Raw genomic sequence first — 20947 nt, 5'->3', positions numbered from 1 at the left:
CAGGTCACAGGTTTGGAGTTCTGTGCTGCACAGCTCTGGCAGGACCTCCCAAACTGGAGTGTGCACCAGAGTTGCCTGGAGGGCCTGTTAAACCAAGTTCCTGGGCCCCCACCCTGGTTTCCAACACCCTGGGTCTGAGGACACCTTCACAACCTCTGGCCTGTGGAATGTGTGTGAGAGCCATATCCTCATTACCTTAATAGTTATTTTAGGCTACTGAATCTGAAGAACCATTTCATGTTTCTAGTGCATCAGACCATGTTTTCTCCAAATTTCAGCACTAGAAACCAGGAAAAGGAAGCCATTTGGGTATCTATGAGATCAGACTTGACATTGACGGGAACAAGACCAAGGAAACCTAAAAGGTGTTCCTTGGATCTTAAAAACTAATAGAGATGAATCAGAAATCCCAGAGGGCTCTGTCCCCCCAGTGCTGTGGTTGTGGTTCTGGTGTTGGATGGTGCCTGGGGAGGCTGGTAGGCACTGAGGGGGATTCTAGAGCCATGATATCCTGGTGGCTTTTACAACTATTAGTGCACTTACACATTCTCCTTTATCCACTGGGCATATGTCCCAAGAACCCCCCCAACTCCCCGTGGATGCCTGAAACTGTGGATAGTACCAAACCCTATATACACTCGATTTTTTCAATCTGATCACCAAGATGGCTAATGAGGGACTAACAGGCAGGTAGTGTAGACCTTGTGCAGATACTGGACAAAGGGAGGATTCACGTCTGGCCTGGGATGGAGTGGAACAGTGCAAGATTTCAAAATATTACTCAGAGCAGCATGCAGTTTAACACTTCGGATGAGGGGGACTACTGTACAAACATTGAAGATGCACCTGGACATTACTTGTGGGCTTTCTGGGTCTACCTCCCAGATGCAGCCATTGCTGAACTGGCATCTTATACCTTAGGCACGCTCTCCCCAGTGAGCATTCTGTGCTGGCCACGCAGTCCCTCCTTGACCTTCTCATTGACAATATGCACTATTATGACTTGAGTGCAAATTGTTTATTATTTATTTATTTTTGGTTTCCCTTTCTCTGTCAACTGATCATAAATGCAAATTGTTTAGCATCACTGAAGTTTTCTGCCCTTTATGCCAATACAAATTGAGTTTTAATTTATCCTTATTTTTCACAAATGTTTTTCTATTAACATAGAAGGCATGCATAATTGTTTATCTTCATCATATCATCATCATCATCATCATCTTTCCATAGTTGTCATTATCTATATCTGGCATTCTTAAATAGAACATGATTGTTTTTATTTTACTCTATTATTTTATCTTGGTTTTAAAACAAACATTATTTTGGAATAATTTTAGATTTATAGAAAAGTTGCATAGATTAGTACAGATGGAATTTCACCATGGTATATTTTTAAATTTATAATTGGCTTTTGAATTATCATCTAAGATTGATTTTTGATTCTTCATCTAACTGTCTTTTTTTTTTTTTTTTGAGACGGAGTTTCGCTCTGTGGCCCAGGCTGGAATGCAGTGGCGCAATCTCGGCTCACTGCAAGCTCCGCCTCCCGGGTTCCACACCATTCTCCTGCCTCAGCCTCCCGAGTAGCTGGGACTACAGGCGCCCACCACCATGCCCAGCTAATTTTTTGTATTTTTTTTTAGCAGAGATAGGGTTTCACTGTGTTAGCCAGGATGGTCTCGATCTCCTGACCTCGTGATCCACCTGCCTCAGCCCCCCAAAGTGCTGGGATTACAGGCATGAGCCACCGCGCCCAGCCTCTTCATCTAACTTTCTAATGAATTACTACTTGTTTCCAAATAAGTTTATTTCTAAAAGACATTTTAATTACATTGATTTATTAGAAGCATTTGTAGTCCTTCATGGTTTCAGAAAATCAATTGTTCAGACCTTTTTGAACATATCTGATTGTGATATTCATACTGTGTAACTCTGAATTTAAATCAAGTTCAGTGGAAATTAAGATATGATGTATTATTTTTTAGTGTATGTTTCGTATCTGAATTTTTGATGCAGTTAAAAAAGCCTTAAGAAAACGACAAAAAAGCTAGAGTGCAGACAACCTAAAATCTCTATTTTAAAACATCATTTTCCTGAGGCCATGCAGACTCATATCTAAGTTTTTTTCATTTAAATAGACTTAATTCTAACAAATACTTACTTTCATAATGAAAAACTTTTTAAAGGTGGGACAGACATACTAGTTACGAAATGAAAGTTTTCAATCACAGATCAGGAAGTATAATGAGATTACATCAAATGTGAATTTGTGTGCCTAAAGAATTCTCTTCACTTAAGTCTTATTACTTGCCTGTCGAAGAGGCAAGGGCAGAAGACATCAGTACCTTGTTGAAACCCCGGCCGTGTAGAACAGGCCTGGCCCTCTGCCAGGGTAATATGGGAGACAGACGTCCTCGGTGAGCTTGGTTGTAAAGGCATCTGCTGCAGCTCAGGAAGCAATGAAGAGCCGAGACCCAAGGCCTCATCCACTTCCAGGAGGGCTCCCTTTATGGGCTCTTGGCGACTGTAACACTGTTTAGCACAGAAACTAGCACAGAAATATTACAGATGATTTGGTACCATGTCAGGTAACACACAGACGAAGAGCATTCCAGAAGATTAGGACATCAACAGTTTTCACTGCAGATTGATAAACCTACGGATATTGGCCATTTTGCTTAGTTAATTATACTAATTGGACTTTCAGAGGAGAACTTCCTGGGAGAACTTTATTTTCCTTGGAAAGAAACATAACAAACTGCTGAGAAAGTTATATTGAAAATGGACACACACAAATGAGACAATTTGGAGGTTTTTCTGTAAGTTTGTATACTGAGCAAACCTATGAGGACCCCTCACATCATGAGTTCCTTCTGCGAACTCTGAGATTCAGGGAATATGCTATTTTATTCACAGATAGGCTCTCTGAAATGTTTGCCTGCCAGCCTGAATCCACATTAAAGGATGTCCTTAAAATGTTGATTAATAAAATTGAAGCTGCTCCAGTCTTTGTGTTCAGCTTTCTGTGAAGGAATAGAAGTTTCCTTCTGAGGTCTTATACATAACCAAGTACATCTGCTGTCTAAAGGATGAGTTCTGTCAAGAAGTTGAGTTAAAAGGAGAAACCTTTTGAATAATTCCAATTTGCAGTTGGTTAAGGGTAATTATTGGCTTTTTAAAAAAAAGCACTTAAAACGTTGAAAACCTGAATGAACTTAATTGATAACTGAAAGAGCACATGACATTATATTAACACATACTGATAAAATATGAATTCAAAGCAAAAATTAAACTTCGGAAAAAAGGAGGTCACAAATGTTTCATTAGTGATGTTTAGTCAGTGTTATAATTTGAATTCTAAAACATAATTATAGATTAGTACAGCAATATCTGTATGAATGAGGGAAAGCTTTGTTATTCTGAAAACTTTATATGAAAAAGTGTTGATTGGATTCAAAATCTAGTCCCATTAGCCTAGATTGTCAACATTACATTTGTCAGTGAAAAAGGGGTTGATATGTAGAATGAGCACATGCTTGAAGTAGAATTGCGAGCATTGGAACCGTTCGAATCCTCTATAATGACTTTTCACCAAGTAGAGAAGAAAATGCCATTTGCTTTCCTCTTCTTGTTCGGTTTCTCACTGATGGTGACAATCTGTTTTGAAGAGATCATCGTTTTGAAGACCTAATTGGGAATTGCATGTAGCTGCTTCACTGTTAGTATTAGTATGAAAACTAATATTAAAAAGTCCTGAGCTTGTCAAGATTTTGGTAACATCTTATCCTTTTTGTCACTTGACCCTATCTTGCCTGTGATAAAGTGATGTACCATGGATATCTGTTAGAATGATCTGCTTTCCAAACCTGTGTAGTACAATTGGAAATACACAAGATCTTTGCACAGCATGGTCTGCTTTGCCAAGGGTATCTGCAGATTAGATGGTAGGTACTGATAAATATATACTGTTGTGTGCCACATAGGGACGTTCTGGGCAAGGATAGACAGCATGTATGATGGTGGTCCCATAGGATTACAGCGAGACTGAAAAATTCCTATCTTAGCCATTGTAAACACCATAGCAAAACACATTACTGATGTTTTTGTGATGATGCTGGTGTAAACAACTCTATTGCCGTTGTATAAAAGTATAGCATATAAAATTACATGTAACACCTAATACTGGGTAATGATAATGAATGTTATTGGTTTATGTAATTACTATACTATTTATCATTATTTTAGCATGCATTCCTTCTACTTATTAAAAAAAATAAACTGTAAAACAGCCTCAGGCAGGTCCTTCAGGCGCTATTCCAGAAGGCACAGGAGAGGACAGCTTTGTGTGTGTTATTGCCCATGAAGACCTTCAGTTGGGACAAGATGTGGACGTGGAAGACACTGATATTGACGATCCTGACCCTGTGTAGGCCTAGGCTAATGTGCGTGTTTGTCTTTTTTTTTTTTTTTTAATACTTTTAAGTTTTAGGGTACATGTGCACAATGTGCAGGTTAGTTACATATGTATACATGTGCCATGCTGGTGTGCTGCACCCATTAACTCGTCATTTAGCATTAGGTATATCTCCTAATGCTATCCCTCCCCCATCCCCCCAACCCCACACCAGTCCCCAGAGTGTGATGTTCCCCTTCATGTGTCCATGTGGTCTCATTGTTCAATTCCCATCTATGAGTGAGAACATGTGATGTTTGGTTTTTTGTCCTTGTGATAGTTTACTGAGAATGATGATTTCCAATTTCATCCATGTCCCTACAAAGGACATGAACTCATCATTTTTTATGGCTGCATAGTATTCCATGGTGTATATGTGTCACATTTTCTTAATCCAGTCTATCCTTGTTGGACATTTGGGTTGGTTCCAAGTCTTTGCTATTGTGAATAGTGCCGCAATAAACATACGTGTGCATGTGTCTTTATAGCAGCATGATTTATAGTCCTTTGGGTGTATACCCAGTAATGGGATGGCTGGGTCAAATGGTATTTCTAGTTCTAGATCCCTGAGGAATCGCCACACTGACTTCCACAAGGGTTGAACTAGTTTACAGTCCCACCAACAGTGTAAAAGTGTTCCTTTTTCTCCACATCCTCTCCAGCACCTGTTGTTTCCTGACTTTTTAATGATTGCCATTCTAACTGGTGTGAGATGGTATCTCATTGTGGTTTTGATTTGCATTTCTCTGATGGCCAGTGATGATGAGCATTTTTTCATGTGTCTTTTGGCTGCATAAATGTCTTCTTTTGAGAAGTGTCTGTTCATATCCTTTGCCTACTTTTTGATGGCGTTGTTTGTTTTTTTCTTGTAAATTTGTTTGAGTTCACTGTAGATTCTGGATATTAGCCCTTTCTCAGATGAGTAGGTTGCGAAAATTTTCTCCCATTTTGAAGATTGCGTGTTCACTCTGATGGTAGTTTCTTTTGCTGTGCAGAAGCTCTTTAGTTTAATTAGATCCCATTTGTCAATTTTGGCTTTTGTTGCCATTGCTTTTGGTGTTTTAGACATGAAGTCCTTGCCCATGCCTATGTCCTGAATGGTAATGCCTAGGTTTTCTTCTAGGGTTTTTATGGTTTTAGGTCTAACGTTTAAGTCTTTAATCCATCTTGAATTAATTTTTGTATAAGGTGTAAGGAAGGGATCCAGTTTCAGCTTTCTACATATGGCTAGCCAGTTTTCCCAACACCATTTATTAAATAGGGAATCCTTTCCCCATTGCTTGTTTTTCTCAGGTTTGTCAAAGATCATGTAGTTGTGGATATGCGGCGTTGTTTCTGAGGGCTCTGTTCTGTTCCATTGATCTATATCTCTGTTTTGGTACCAGTACCATGCTGTTTTGGTTACTGTAGCCTTGTAGTATAGTTTGAAGTCACGTAGCGTGATGCCTCTGGCTTTGTTCTTTTGGCTTAGGTGTCTTGGTTTTTAACAGAAAAGTTAAAAAGATTTTTTTGATAGAAAAATGTTTATAGAATAAGAATATAAAGGAAATATTTTTCACAGCTGTACAATGTGTTTGTGTTTTAAGGCAAGTGTTATTACAAAAGAGTCAAAAAGTTTATAAAGTAAAAAGTTACAGTAAGCTGAGGTTAATTTATTATTGAAGATGAAGAAGAATATTTTTAAAATGAACTCAGTACAGTTAAGTGTTTATAAAGTCTATGGCAGTGTGCAGTAATGTCCTAGGCCTTCATATTCACTCGCTACTCACTGATTTGCCCAGAACAGCTTCCACAGCCCTGCAACCTCCATTCATAGTAAGTGGTCTATACAGGTATACCATTTTTTTTTCTTTTATACCATATTTTTATAGCACCTTTTCTACATTTAGATAGTTTAGATACACAGCTACCATTGTGTTCCAGCTGCCTACAGTATTCAGGACAGTAACATGCTGTACAGGTTTGTAGCCTAGGAACAACAGACTTTATAGGCGAGGTGTGTAGTAGGCTACAGCATCTAGGTTCGTGTAAGTCCACTGTATGATGTTTGCACAATGACAAAATCACCTAATGATGCATTTCTCAGAACGTATTCCTCTCATTGACACATGACTCTATAAAATAATAGATTTCACAGAATATTTGCTGTGGAGAAAAACCTTACAAGCATTATGGAATGGGAGGTGTTTAAAATTAACATCAGTAGGACCAAAGATAGAGAGCATGTGACTACTGGTTGTCTAAGAGAGAAGTTTGGCACTCAAGTTATACCCACTATCTTGATTCTTCACTTTTTGGTCAGGCTTTTCTTACGGCTATGCTAAGAAACAATACTGAAGATAACTCTGTACGCTCTTGCTTTTAAGAACGTGCCAATATGTCAAGATATCTGCTGGAACCCAAGAAACTGAGGGATGCTTACACTGCTCTAAGGACCAAACTAATAATGGGAATGGCCCAAACGGCATAGGGGAAGAAGGCTCACCAGGTGAAATGGAAGCAGATTGGCTAAATGATGAATCCAGCCAGGATTAAGAGCCTCCCTCAGGGAAAAAACAGTCATTCTAAAGATTTAGCTGGAGGAGACAATGACTTTGAAAAGGGATGATGTGTTGATGAAATTTGCAAAGGTCAGCATCTCACAGGGCACAAAAAATGGTAGTTTAGATTCCAGTTTAACACGCAGTCCTGATATCAGCTCCAGTTTAACAGTTAAGCAGTCCTGATATCAGCTACATCAGAAATGATACCAGACATGTTTGATTCGATGATGGGCAGCTTGGGCTAGATGAAAGATCTATTCTGGCCTTGGATTGGGATCCTGAGTTAAAATGCCACAGAAGATTTTGAAAAATATGGAAACATAGAATATAAACTTCCTTGAAAAAAAAAAAACTTTTGCGAAATTAAAAGACTGCCTCAGACCCTTTTCAACAAAAGAAAACTAAGTGATAAAGATTCCTGGTATCCAAATCGTCAAGAAGCCACCACTAAGAAATTGGATGTATGATCCCTGCCTCCAGTAGCTGTTGCATCTCAAGTGATTTTTCTTACAGTAGATCCTTGAGAAACAAGTTAGATAACTTAGTTGATTTTCCTATCAATGACTTGGCTGTATTGGAATTTCTGATTAATCCAAGCGCAGGGCCTCGCTGCTATAATTTGATTGCTGTTTCCAACCACTATGGAGGGATGAGAGGAAGGCCCTATACTGCTTTTGCAAAATAAGCATGGTGGAGATGGGATTATTTTGATGATTACTGTAATGTCTCAACTGCATCTGAAGGCCAGATTGTGTTCAAAGCCATATGTGAATTCTACTACAGAGAAGACACTTATGGTGGAACTGGCTTGTCGCCTCCACAGGCATCCCATTTAGAAAGTGAGGAAGATGGCAGTGGCAATGACAATGATATAGAAAATAGAAACCATGTACAGTGTGTAATGAAGGTCCCTAAGGCTATAAAGGAGAGACCTTCCTGCTGGTGGTATCTGTTGGAGCAATGAAGTTACCTACTACCTTCAAACAGAAGTCTGAGATGAGGGTTTCAGATGACCAAATGTAAATCCTTTATCTTATTTTAACTTGGGTAGTACTTGAAGTGAGACACAATGAACACTTTAATAGAAATTGTCTGTCAATCCATTTAGACGCTTGAATTACAGGCTACATATATATAGGAATGAAAAATAAGGTCATGTTTAAACAGCCCAAATATCTCATGTAAAAAGATTGAAAGGATTTTTAAAGACTGTATGCATTCTTAGTAGTTACTATTTCCCATAATGCATAATATCCTATCCTTCTGATCATCAATAGATCGTGGAATGAGTATTTTCAGTGAGTTCCATGTCCAGGTGACGTTCTCTTCATATGCTGTGACGGCAGAGGTTGGGAGGCTCTGCTCTGAGAGTTGTTTGGCCCCTCAGCTCCTTGTCACTGTTAATACTTTACCTGCCTCCTTTCTGGACACTTGCCCACCCCCTGGATTAATTGCTGCCTTTCTATGGCTCCCATCACATTTTGTTGGTGACTTGTATACACATTTCTACTTTGTGGTACGCCAAGTTCTTTGGCATCCCAGCACTATTCTGGGAAATCCATTTCCATCCTGACTGCCCCAGGTACCATTCACGGTTTGCAATTTTCCTCCTGTTCAGTTTGAGTGGATTCTTACATGTGCCACTGCACAAAATTCGTTTTGGGCAAAGTTGGAAAAAGTAAGGGTAGCTTTCCAAAGCTTTGCTGCCATCTTGTGGAAGCTTGTTGAATCACAGCTGAATTTTGCCTTTGATTTATTTTCAGTGAAATGGTTTACGAATAAGTTCCAAACTTTTTAAAATATGGGGAACCTTCCCTGTCATCCCCGATAATTGTTATTTTGTAGCAGCTTTATTGAGATATATTTCACGCACCATGCAAGTCACCCGTTTAAAGCGTACAATTCAATGGGTTTTTTTTTTTTTGTATATTCAGAGTTGTGCAGCGATCACCACAATCAATTTTAGACCATTGCATCACCCTGAAAATAAATGTCATATCTTTAGCTCTCACTACCAGTGTATCCATTTTCCCCAGCCGTAGGCAGCTTTCTGTTTCTGTAGATTTGCCTGTCCTGGACATTTGATATAAATGGAGTTGCTGTATCATGTTCGACTTCTCTCACCTAGCATGATGTTTTCAAGACACATCCATGCTGTAGCATGCGTCAGTGCTTCATTCCTTTTAATGGCCAAATATTCCATTGCATGGGTATGCCATGATTTGTTTATTCAGCAATTTATTCAACATTTGGGTGTTTTTTTGGCTACTATGAACAATACTACTGTGAACAATCTGTGTACAAGTTTGCATGTGAACACTTTCAGTTCTCTTGGGTGTATATGTAGAAGTGAGATTTCTGAGTCAAATGGTAACTTTAACTTTTTTAAAAACTGCCAGACTGTTTACTAAAGTGGCTGAGCCAGTTTATATTCCCATCGTCAATATATGAGGGTTCTGACAGTTTTATTTTTAACATCCTTAAGAACACTCCTAATACTAAGATGCTGCTTTGAATTCACTAAGGCTTTTCTTCAACTTTTAAAAGAAATCGTGTAAGTACAGCAGTATGTGCTCATTGTAGAGAAATACTATCCTGAAAAGTTTAACATCATTACCAATTACTCCACCACCCAGAGATTTAGTGTATTTATTTCTAGAGTACTTTATGTGTGCATGGATATATTTCAGTTTTACAAAATGGGATTTCACTACATACATTTTTTCCAAATCAGTATTAGCAGTGTCCTTCTATGAATGTGTATGTTGTTAATTACAACAGTCTCCACATACCTCTGGGAAAAGGCACACTTGGTGTGGGGGACATTTTATTTTCTCTGGGTATCCAGACAGTGCTTGGTGTGCATTTGGGTTCGTGGACCCTGCAAAAACTACAGTCCACAGGCTGGGAGCTGCTGGCTTAGCCTTTAGTTGCCTAGAAAGCTACATTACTGTCAGTTTTGGTAAGGCAGAAAATTTGTTTAATTTAAACCTCTCATCTTTTTTTAAGCACTCACTGAAAATGACCGAGACAGCCAGTCGCCGTTGAGGAATCCTCTGTTGTCAACATCGAGACCCCTGGTTTTCGGGAAACCCAATGGCACGTACCTCTTTTCATTGTTGCTTTCCCCTGCATACCACTGCAGTGGCGGGAGGCACCGGGGTTGCCCTCATCCCTCTTCTTGTAGCAGCCTTGTCTTTTCCCTTCGTCCAATGAATTATCCCCAAACTCACTGCCTTTAGAGGACAGAAGTGCTCCTAGTGGGGGTGTTGCTGGGTGGCTGCCCCTTGCCCCCACCACCAAGTTCCTTCCTCCTGTTTGCTGTTTCACGGGTCCTCTTAGAGCAGAAGTCCCCCAGTTACCACCCACTGGCTCTCCAGGGGAATCTCTTGCTTTCCAGTTTTGTATGGAATTTGCTTAGTGGAATTCCTCACCCCCTTGCTCCTCTCTCCTACATAGTTTCCTTTTTGCTGTCACTGAATTTATTTAAATTAAACCACATATTGTTTTCCTTTGTTTCAAGGTGATGCAGTTGATTATCAGAAACAGCTGAAGCAGATGATTAAGGATTTAGCCAAAGAAAAAGATAAAACTGAGAAAGAATTGCCCAAAATGAGCCAGGTATGGACTTTCTTCAGTGCAGAGAATTAACTTTTTTTTTTTTTTTTGAGATGGAGTCTCGCTCTGTCGCCCAGGCTGGAGTACAGTGGCGCGATCTCAGCCCACTGCAACCTCCACCTCCAGGGTTCAAGCAGTTCTCCTGCCTCAGCCTCCTGAGTAGCTGGGATTACAGGCGTGTGCAACCACGTCTGGCTATTTTTGTATTTTTAGTAGAGGTGGGGTTTCACCATGTTGGTCAGGCTGGTCTTGAACTTCTCACCTTGTGATCTGCCCACCTCAGCCTCCTAAAGTGCTGGGATTACAGGTTTGAGCCACCGCGCCCGACCGAGAATTAACTGTTTTTTCAGATGATTAATCTGAGAATCAAGCTTGGGCCCCTTTACCTGCAAAGTCCAGGTAGCGGAACATCATAGTGATTAAATTGGAAATACTAAATTGTGATCAACTGAAGATACTTCAGATATTCAAATCGCTTCAAAACAGGAGGCTGCCACACACTTCACATCTTTGAGGAGTTTTTGTATAAAATTCATTTATCCAGGTTGTGATACAGATTTATTCCTCTGGGAGGTAGAAGTATTTGGGGCCACTGTGGATACAGCATTCTTCCCTTCAAAAATACTGTGCTTGCTCCATTTCCTGGGAAATCACTGGCTGCATGATACACAGTACTGATAGAGGAGTCTCTAAAACTTCTGAGCATCTTCCAGAAAAGGGTTGTGCCATATTCAGGTTCCATATGGTTTGTTTCATTTTGAAAATGGTTCCTCCCAATGTTTAGGAAATGTAGGCTTAAAGTTAAAAATGCTCCTTTTTGGCTCACGTCTGTAATCCCAGCACTTTGGGAGGCCGAGGCGGGTGGATTACGAGGTCAGAAGATTGAGACCATCCTGGCTAACATGGTGAAACCCCGTCTCTACTAAAAATACAAAAAAAAAAATTAGCTGGACGTGGTGGCGGGCGCCTGTAGTCCCAGCTACTCGGGAGGCTGAGGCAGGAGAATGGCATGAACCCGGGAGGCGGAGCTTGCAGTGAGCCGAGATCGCACCACTGCACTCCAGCCTGGGCGACAGAGCGAGACTCCATCTCAAAAAAAAAAAAGAAAAAGCTCCTTTTTTATAGGACTTAAGTCATTTTGGTGCTGTGGACTACGACCCTTCAAGAGTAGAATTTAGCATGCAGTTTCTCAGTCTTTTTTTTCTTTTGACCACAAAACATCTTGTGGGATTAGTGTTTCGTAGCATGTTTGAGAAATGCTGCTCGTCTACTGTGCTGGGAATTGCTCTCAGATGCTCATTCTACTCTCTGGATATATGATCAAAATGAGTTAAACTTCATCACTCAGAGCTATCAGTATTAACATTCTGATACACATAACCTTTTTTTTTCTATAGATGATGTTTCAAACAAAACGGGCCATGTTCATACTCAGGTTTCCTTTCAGAATAACCATGGATCTTTTCCCCCAAATAAATATTTGTTATATTAGTACCCAAGCATTTTTCTTTTTTTTTTTTTTTTTGGAGACAGAGTCTCACTCTGTCGCCCAGGCTAGAGTGCAGTGGCACGATCTCGGCTCACTGCAAGCTCCGCCTCCCAAGTTCATGCCATTCTCCTGCCTCAGCTTCCCGAGTAGCTGGGACTACAGGCGCCCGCCACCAAGCCCGGCTAATTTTTTTTGTATTTTTAATAGAGACAGGGTTTCACCATGTTAGCCAGGTGTTAGCCAGGATGGTCTCAATCTCCTGACCTCGTGATCCGCCTGCCTTGGCCTCCCAAAGTGCTGGGATTACAGGCATGAGCCACCGCACCCGGCCATACCCAACCATTTTTCTATTCTTGGAGTAATTGTGTAGCTAGATTCCACCTGAAGCACCTGTCCTCACATTACGTATTCTCAATTTCAGCAGCAGTGTCTCAGATTACACTGAGAAAACAACAGGCATCACTCTTCCATTTCATTTTACATTTAGGTCCTGCATGGCCTTCCCACCAGAGGAACATGCCCTAACTTTATAGCGTTTCAGCTGTTTCCAGCATTTTCCTATTATAAACTCTAGCTTAAAGATCCCTACAGATAAATCTGTACGTTGCTGTGGTTTCATTTTTTTTTTTTTAAGACAAAGTTTTACTCTTGTTGCCCAGGCTGGAGTGCAATGGTGTGATCTTGACTACCACAACCTTTGCCTCCTGGGTTTAAGCGATTCTCCTGCCTCAGCCTCCCAAGTAGCTGGGATTGCAGGCATGGGTCACCATGCCTGGCTAATTTTGTATTTTTAGTAGAGATGGGGTTTCTCCATGTTGATTGGGCTGGTCTGACTCCCAACCTCAGGTGATCCGCCTGCCTCGGCCTCCCACAGTGCTGGGATTACAGGCGGGAGCCACTGTGCCCAGCCTGCTGTGGTTTCTTGAATTGCTTTGTTAAAGGGTGTGCACATCCTCTAGGAAGGTCTACCCATTTCCAAGTCTGTGCTGAAATTCCCAGGAATCACCACTGTTAATAGTTTAGAGTGGAAAGGCAGAGACTACCTTTTCTTATATTCTGTGTCTTCAAAAATACTGTGTCGTTTTCTCAAAGCTCACAGGTATGTTTAAAAAAAAAAATGACACTTCCACCCTGGTTCTGCTGCTACCTAAGACTTATTTCAATTTCAGAGAGAATTTATCCAGTTCTGTAAAACTCTGTACAGTATGTTCCATGAAGATCCAGAAGAAAATGATTTGTATCAAGCCATCGCCACAGTCACCACACTGCTGCTGCAGATCGGGGAGGTGGGGCAGCGAGGCAGCAGCTCTGGAAGCTGCTCCCAGGAGTGTGGGGAGGAGCTGCGGGCTTCAGCTCCTTCTCCTGAGGACTCGGTTTTTGCAGACACTGGGAAGACGCCCCAGGACTCCCAGGCATTTCCAGAGGCGGCAGAAAGGGACTGGACTGTCTCCCTTGAACATATTTTAGCTTCACTTCTGACTGAACAGTCATTAGTCAACTTTTTTGAAAAGCCACTGGACATGAAATCCAAACTTGAAAATGCCAAGATCAATCAGTACAATCTCAAAACTTTTGAAATGAGCCACCAATCACAATCTGAACTTAAGCTGAGTAACTTGTAGCAAGACAGCAGCTGCTATGCACACTGGAGTCCACCATACCAAAGCACGAACCAGACTGTTTCTTGGGGTCAGCCCTAAACCGAGATTTCAGTCTACCTTACCAATGGGGCATCTGGCTAAACAACCTGACAAACTGTGGCCAGGGGAACCGACACAACCCTCAAGCATTTCTATGTATTGAGAATTGTCAGTGCCCTAAGGTATCCATTGGTTCCCTTGATGCCAACTTACAATTTTTACCGGATTTGCTGAAATGGGCACTTCTGCTGTGATGCTAGTGTTGATTTTGCTCTCAGATGAACACAATGTCTCATACTAACCAAGAAGCAAGAAAAGCCCCATGCTTTCATTTTTCACTTGGAGTGACAATGGGAGAGGTCAGGAATCAAGTTCACTTTCAAGATCTAAGGGAGTCCACTATCTGTGCAATTGTATTTGGCTTTTTTTTGCACTGTTTCAATGCTGGTAATTGAAACCATTTTAATATATTTGGTTGTATTCACTTTATATGTCCTTCCAAAAATGTTGTTGTGTACAAACCATGCTTTCAATGTTGGCTTCCAAGTTTTTTAATAAGAAACTTTTTGTATTTACTTGGTCCTTTTCTTTTACCTTGTAGTTAAGTGTCTTAAGCTGTAGACTGTGGCAGTGAATGGGTAAGCTGGAGATGTTGCTGCTGCCCATCCATGGTTTTTGGGTGGTGCAACACTACTAGGTACTTCTCAGCCCTGCCTTGGGTGTGCCCTACGGCTTCAGAGACCTCTTTATGGCAGCATTTAACATACAGCTTGTAAATGCTGGTGAAACATAATCTCAGCAACACTGCTTTAGGACTGAACTATTAATACAAATTTTTGTTATTGATACCTTAAGGAACTTTTTACTTCTGAACCTTGACTCCAGGTACCACGGGGCCATTACAAAAGGCTTAAAATATGAATCTGGTTATCTCACCAAAAATCAATTAATTATTTTAGAAGACAACAACTATACTCAATATGGATGTAGGCAGAAGCTTAAAAGACCTACTGCCACATTAATTTCATTACCTTTAAGATGCTACAGATAGATAGATAGATAGTATATCATTTTAAAGTTGTTTCCTAAAATGTTAAGATGTCAATGGCAACTGGATTCTACATCCTGGTTTCTGGAAAAATGCTTATCTTAGAATTAGCAAAACATACAAGTAGAATAATTAACAATATGCCTTCAGTATCCCAACTACCCAGAACAGTGGTTCTAAAACTAGGTTGCAGTTTGAAATCACTTTAAAACCCCAGGGGATGGGGAGAAGGCAGCACAGGCCATCAATTTGGGAAAAGCTCTTCAAATGATCCCATAATTAGGATAGGGTATACAAGTACATTATGTTGCAACTAAAAAGAACAAAAACATGAAGGCAATTTTATAACTTTATTTGATCTGACGATCAGCGATTAGTTCTCATCCACATTGACTGTCTGTAGATCTGTAAAGGAAGTAACAGTCAATTTCCATACCCACATCACATTTCATATTTCAACTCTAAAAACCTTTTGTAGACGGGTCTGGGCATTCTATTTTCCACAACCTTTTTACATCCCAGATATGGATCAGTTTTGCATTCTTTAGCATCTTCCCACACCAACAATTTAAAAAGGGTACAATGACGTGTGTCACCCCTAGCTTAACAGATGAATTCACATTTTAAGAGGTAAGGACATTTTTCTAATGAATTTAAATGGCTTTATGGGATGGAGAACTTACTTTTGAAAGTGGTAACAGGTACATAGGTAACCAAAGTATATAGCTTATTTGGTGAATCTTCATCCTCATTACGTTTTCTGGACAGCCGCACACGGATTCGGTATGGCACATTCCTAATAAAAACATAATTGTGTTGCTGAAGTCAATGCCTCCTTTCAACCAAGCAGCCACTAGCTGTATTCACATATCTCATATGCCTGCTTCTAATGCTGTCCTTTGCTCTACTCTGACCAACCTAGAACTTACAGTTCCCTGGAAAATGAAACATAACCCCCAGGTGAACATTAAATGCTGTTACCACAGGAGGGATGCTTGTTTGAAGACATGTTAAGGTAGCCACCATTGATACCCAACCGGTTAATCCTAAGCAGATATCTGGGTCCAAATGGTCCAAATGTGTTAGTCTTTTGTCTATCACCAGAAACTTTGTTACGTGATTTTTCTGTTACATTAAAATATGAAGAAACGGCATGGTGGCTTGCCCCTGTAACCCCAGCACTTTGGGAGGCTGAGGTGGGTGCATCATCTGAGGTCAGGAGTTCGAGATCACCCTGGCCAACATGGTAAAACCCCTCTCTACTAAAAATGCAAAACTAAGAGCCAGGCGTGGTGGCGGCTGCCTGTAATCCCAGCTACTTGGGAGGCTGAGGCAGGAAAATAGCTGGAACCCAGGAGGTGGAGGTTGCAGTGAGCTGAGACTACGCCATTGCGCTCCAGCCTGGGCAACATTAACTCCATCTCAAAACGAACAAAAAACAGTGTTAAAAACTCTGCCACAGGCGCATACTCTATTTCTCTATCTTCCACATGCAATCCCCTTGTCCTGTCTTACCCTCTCCGTAGCATCACAGCTGATTCTCTTTCCTCTATCGATGCCGGGTATTGTTCTAGGCCCCGATTCCTATAAACTCAGGACTTCTCTTGGCTCCTGTAATCCCATTCCTCTTATCCCAAGGCAGGCATCGGAGGACACCTCTCCTGCTGCACCCTTCAATGTCCACCCACAGAAGAGCTAGGTCTCAGGTCCCTGTCTTGTTCATCTCACTTAATCCTAAGGTTTAAATACCACACAGATGCAGACAGTCCTCCCCCAACCCGTTTCCAGAATCAACTAGTCCACACTGTCATCATTCCTCTAGCTGCCCCTCACTCCACTTCTGTTCTGGCACCTCATGACGTCCTTTACAGCACAAGCCTCCCCTGCTTTCTGGTTCCACTTTAGAGCAGGGTCCCCCAACATGAGAACTAACATCTGAGCTAGGCAATTTTTTGTTGAGGGAGCAGCCCCATGAGTTGTAGGATGTTTAGTAGTCCCTGGCCCACAGTATCCCTCAGTAGTGACAAAAAACACTGCCCCCCACCCCCGCCACAACCCCGGGAAGGACAGGTAAAACTGCCGCAGGCCAAGAACCACTTCTCTCCTGGTGGACTTGCCATGATGTCTAGAGCGACCCTCACCCCTCCCTCCTCCACTGGGCTCACAGTGATTTATTCCACTTTACCTGCGTTCACCACCCCGCTCCCAGATCCTGCCAAGCTTCCTCTCTCTGCAATGCTCTTTCCCACCCTACACTGCTGGCTCCTTCCCTTGGGTCTCAGTTCATAAGCCACTAAATTAAGGGGCTTCCCTGCAGATACTACACACCCTAAGTCACGGTCACAGTATTTTTTTTTTTTATACTTCCACATGCATTAACCAAATTACTGAACTGATATGGGCTCTTGCAGGGTTAAGTGAAGCTGGTGTCATTGCAAAAGTTCACCTTCGAATACAGATAACTTTAGCACCTTATTCCTTTGGCCCAGACAGCTTTGTTGAGCCTGGTGTCAATGCGCACATCTGGAGTTCCCATCTCCTTCATGGCAAATTTCCGAATCTCTTTGAGTGCCCGAGGTGCACGCTTCTTGAAGCCCCTACGATTCAAACATAAGTGAACAAATTAAAGGAGCACAAAACTAAATTAGGTACATGTGAGAAATCCTCAATGTCGATGATAGGCTCCTGGAAACTGACTTTAAGCAATGTCTTATGTAACAAAACCAAGTTTTTACAGCATACAGTAGGCCAGTGTGCTTAAAGCTCAGTGAAGACTTACTGTAGATGGTATGTCCTCCTAAAACCAGCCTAAACCAACCCTTAAACTAGGCAGTAACAATCCTTTTTTCCCACCAGTGTGCAATGCCCAGCAATTAGCATAACACTTAGGACAAGAAGATGCATAATCCACTTTCTGAAGTCCTCAATCAAAATACTAAATTTGATTAAATGTCATGTCTTAAGACAGGACATGTTTTTGGAACAGATCATTCAATGCTATTGACTTCATCTATGCTTAAAGAGCAGGGGCCTGAAGTGTGCAGGCAGGTCGCTTCTTGAGTATGATGAATGGCAGTAGTTAGCGCTATGAACCCATCAAGCAAGCTCACTTCACTTAAATACTTAAAACATCCAGAAGTAAACGGTACTAGAAATAACAGCAGCTGGCAATCCCTTGTTCTTCACACAGCTTATGTAAGCAACCTATTGAGTACATCAGATGGTATCTAGTACTACAGAGAAAGACAAACCAGGGAAAATAAAGCATTAGGGAAGGGGACTGCAAGTTTCTATAAGACGGCCAAGGTGGGCCAGGTGTGGTGGCGGGGTCCGGTAATCCCAGCTACTCGGGAGGCGGAGGTTGCAGTGAGCCGAGAGCGCGCCACTGCATTCCAGGCTGGAGACAGAGCAAGACTCCGTCTCAAACAAAACAAAACAAAACAGATGGCCAGGGTGATATTGGACTCAAAGTCTGAAGGCAACGAAGCATTTATTTGTGGAAAAAACATTCAGGCATAGGGAAAAAAAGGGTAAAAATTCAACAAAGTAGCTACTTTGAAACAAAAGCATGCCCGGTATGATTAAGCGGGTCAGCCAATGTGGGATCATGGCAAGAACTCTTGATTTCTAACCTAAGATAGAAGGCCGATGGAGGATCTGAGAATAGACCACGCATGTTTGGGTAGGGAAGGGAACAGGAGTAGGGAGCTGCTGCTGTCCGCATTCGGCTAAGAAAGAATAATGGGGGCGGTCAGAAAGACCAATGCAGCTGGTCAGACTGTGAATGTATTCGGAGGGTAGAGCCCACAGGATTTGTTAAATTGCCAATGAATGAAACAGGGAAGGCCACAAGAGGAAAAGATTGGGGTGGAGGTGATTCGGCACATCTCTCGGTAACAACCAGACGCGTGAGTTCGAGACCCAGGGCGGCTAGAGGGATACTCACACTCCATGGATGCGCTTGTGAATGTTGATGGTGTATTCTCGGGTTACCACTTCGTTGATGGCAGAACGGCCCTTTTTCTTCTCGCCACCCTTCTTTGCGGGAGCCATCTAAATGCAGGCGACAAGGAGGCTCAGAGCAGAGTTTAACAAGCTCAAGCCAAGTCCTCCCTCCCAGCCTCACGCTGTCACTCTCGGGGCGCTTCCAGGTGCTGAGAGTCTGGCCAGGCTAAGTCGGTCACCCAGTGGCCCACGCACCCGCGCCCCTGCGCCCCTCAGATGCCTCCGACCCGGAAATCCCTGCCGCTCCGGCTCCCCTAAGCCTGGTCACTTTCTTCCTCAGGCTCTGGGAGCCTTTAAAAGCAGGGTGTATTCCCATCTCCCCACAACCGGAGCCCCGGGCTGGCTCGGGAGAGATTTTGCGGTCCCAGTTAGCACAATCCCAAAGGAGGATGGGGCTGGATTCCAGGAGCCCAGACTCCGCCACCCATACTCACTCTGCAGCGTCCAAGTTGGAAAGGAAGAGCGCGAAGGATTGTGGGAGAAGGAAAGCCGCAGTTGCAAGTACAACTTCCGGGTCGCCAGGCAAGGGGGTGTGGCTAGGGAAGGGGAGAGGCGAGCTATGATGTAAGCGGCGCGCGCCGAAGTGGGGCCAGCTAGCAGGCGTCGTGGCGGGGCCGCGCTTTTGGGCCGCGAGCTTGAGGTCCCGCTTCTCGACGGATTCCTTCTGGCTCCGCGAAGGAACTTGCGTCCCTTCTCTAAGTCTTCGGATAAAACCAAGACCTAGGCCTACAGATGTATGGGAGCAGGGCCAGGGAGAGAGAGACTTCGTTTTTCCCATTCATTCATGCATCCGACCAACACTGACTGAGCCTGCGTCGGGCGCGGTGCCTGGCTGGCGGTCCCAGGGTCACTAAGACGCAACCCGGCGCTGGAGGTGCTTGCGTCGAGCAGGGCCGGCACAGGATTGCCAGTCGTGGCTGTCCTGTGCGGTGGAGCCACAGGGCTGTCGCGTCGTCCCTGTGCGTGGGTGGCCCAGTGTGTTGGATATGACCTGAGAGATGACAGATGTGAGATGACACGACAGGGAGATCTGAGGAGGTCCCCAGAGAACTGGGAACTGCGTGTCACCAGTCTAGAGATTCGGAGACAGTTGGATCTATGGACCCATGTCTTCCTTTTTCTTGTCGAACTCCCTTCTTTCACAGGAGCACACCATTTTTAGTGGTTTCTTAAGATGAGTACACTAGCTAAAAAGTTTATGAGCCCTCAAATACCTGAGTATTTATTCAACCCTCAAATTTAAATTCTGGCTTGTATGGAATTCTAGATTGAAAAGAATTTCTCCCCAGCATTTTGAAGGCAGGCTTCATTGTCTTCAGTTTTTCAGTGTGGTGAGAAGTGATGCGTCATTTTTTTCTCTCTGAAAGATTTTAGGATCTTCTCTTTAAAGTTCAGAAATTTCATGACGATGGTACCTTGAATTTAAGGAAATTTCCCAGAACGAAGGAGCTTGATGTTCCAAGTTGAAAGGGCCCACTTAATGCCTGGCACTTTGGTGAATGGGAAAATGCCCGGACCAAGTCACCCCTAACCTACTAACAGGGTTTTCAGCAATGGACATGTTTCAAGACCTCACAGACGAGACTGGAGGCAGGCAATTTCAGGGCTGGAACAGGGACTCTGATCTCATGAGGAATCTTTGCATCCTGTATCAGGGTAGATGTTGCACTTCTAGGTATCCCAGCAGTCCTCAAAGGCAAGAGATGGTGGTGGACAAGGAAGCCTCCCCCCATGTCTCTTATCAGACTCCAAAGGCCTTTCCAGAAACCTCCAGTAGATTTCTGCCTGTCATTGGTTAGGACTAGGGACTCCATTTCAGTTAGGCTGGGAGAGCACATGCCTGCCAAAAGCAAATGGGATTGTCACGATTACCTTGGCCTAATGATGGGTTGTGTATTTTGTGGCCTGGGCTAAACACATTGCTTTTGTTGTTGTTGTTGTTTTTTGAGACGGAGTCTCGCTCTGTTGCCCAGGCTGGAGTGCAGTGGCGCGATCTCGGCTCACTGCAAGCTCCGCCTGCCGAGTTCACGCCATTCTTCTGCCTCAGCCTCCTGAGTAGCTGGGACTACAGGCGCCCGCCACTACACCCGGCTAATTTTTTGTATTTTTAGTAGAGACAGGGTTTCACCGTGTTAGCCAGGATGGTCTTGA

General features: G+C 42.8%; 2 protein-coding genes and 1 pseudogene across 6 annotated transcripts in view, besides 4 other annotated features; 2 read left to right on the top strand and 1 right to left on the bottom strand.

Annotated features, from left to right (window-relative positions):
- The window catches only part of TBC1D8 (TBC1 domain family member 8), a 144155-nt gene extending 129837 nt beyond the window's left edge, over nucleotides 1-14318 (top strand). For all 3 annotated transcript variants that reach the window (NR_138475.2, NM_001102426.3, NM_001330348.2), the window contains 3 exons: nucleotides 10006-10095; nucleotides 10520-10617; nucleotides 13273-14318. Coding sequence is in view for 2 of the 3 variants with exons in the window: in NM_001102426.3 (NP_001095896.1) it covers nucleotides 10006-10095; nucleotides 10520-10617; nucleotides 13273-13725 (641 nt within the window). In the remaining variant the exon portion in view is untranslated. The remainder of the gene's footprint in view (nucleotides 1-10005; nucleotides 10096-10519; nucleotides 10618-13272) is intronic.
- On the bottom strand, nucleotides 1822-19257 carry RPL31 (ribosomal protein L31). 3 transcript variants are annotated; one of them, NM_001098577.3, is made up of 5 exons: nucleotides 19231-19257; nucleotides 18738-18844; nucleotides 17263-17388; nucleotides 15475-15587; nucleotides 1822-2548 (listed from the first exon to the last, which is right to left on the bottom strand). In NM_001098577.3, the coding sequence occupies exons 2-5, from the start codon at nucleotides 18842-18844 to the stop codon at nucleotides 2508-2510; spliced, it is 387 nt and encodes a 128-aa protein (NP_001092047.1). In that variant the 5' UTR covers nucleotides 19231-19257; the 3' UTR covers nucleotides 1822-2507. The 3 variants fall into 3 exon arrangements, with proteins under 3 accessions (NP_001092047.1, NP_000984.1, NP_001093163.1); NM_000993.5 differs by lacking the exon at nucleotides 1822-2548 and adding an exon at nucleotides 14279-15196; NM_001099693.2 differs by lacking the exon at nucleotides 1822-2548 and having other exon boundaries at nucleotides 15128-15587.
- Nucleotides 7153-7814, top strand: LOC100420429 (ubiquitin specific peptidase 15 pseudogene; annotated as a pseudogene).
- Nucleotides 9030-9099: an enhancer, noted in NCBI's record as "active region_16297". NCBI's record gives its function as "activates an Ori minimal core promoter by ATAC-STARR-seq in GM12878 lymphoblastoid cells {active_cell/tissue: GM12878}" and the evidence as "EXISTENCE:reporter gene assay evidence [ECO:0000049][PMID:35858748]".
- Nucleotides 16297-16797: an enhancer, noted in NCBI's record as "H3K27ac hESC enhancer chr2:101621211-101621711 (GRCh37/hg19 assembly coordinates)". NCBI's record gives its function as "activates a minimal SCP1, AML or CMV promoter by ChIP-STARR-seq in naive H9 embryonic stem cells {active_cell/tissue: H9 hESC(naive)}" and the evidence as "EXISTENCE:reporter gene assay evidence [ECO:0000049][PMID:30033119]".
- Nucleotides 18267-18921: an enhancer, noted in NCBI's record as "NANOG-H3K27ac-H3K4me1 hESC enhancer chr2:101619087-101619741 (GRCh37/hg19 assembly coordinates)". NCBI's record gives its function as "activates a minimal SCP1, AML or CMV promoter by ChIP-STARR-seq in naive H9 embryonic stem cells {active_cell/tissue: H9 hESC(naive)}" and the evidence as "EXISTENCE:reporter gene assay evidence [ECO:0000049][PMID:30033119]".
- Nucleotides 19058-19597: an enhancer, noted in NCBI's record as "active region_16296". NCBI's record gives its function as "activates an Ori minimal core promoter by ATAC-STARR-seq in GM12878 lymphoblastoid cells {active_cell/tissue: GM12878}" and the evidence as "EXISTENCE:reporter gene assay evidence [ECO:0000049][PMID:35858748]".

This window comes from Homo sapiens, chromosome 2, assembly GCF_000001405.40.
Source record: "Homo sapiens chromosome 2, GRCh38.p14 Primary Assembly".
NCBI classification, from domain to species: Eukaryota; Metazoa; Chordata; class Mammalia; order Primates; family Hominidae; genus Homo; species Homo sapiens.
Note: the sequence above shows the minus strand (reverse complement) of the source record. Positions and strands in the feature narration are given on the sequence as shown.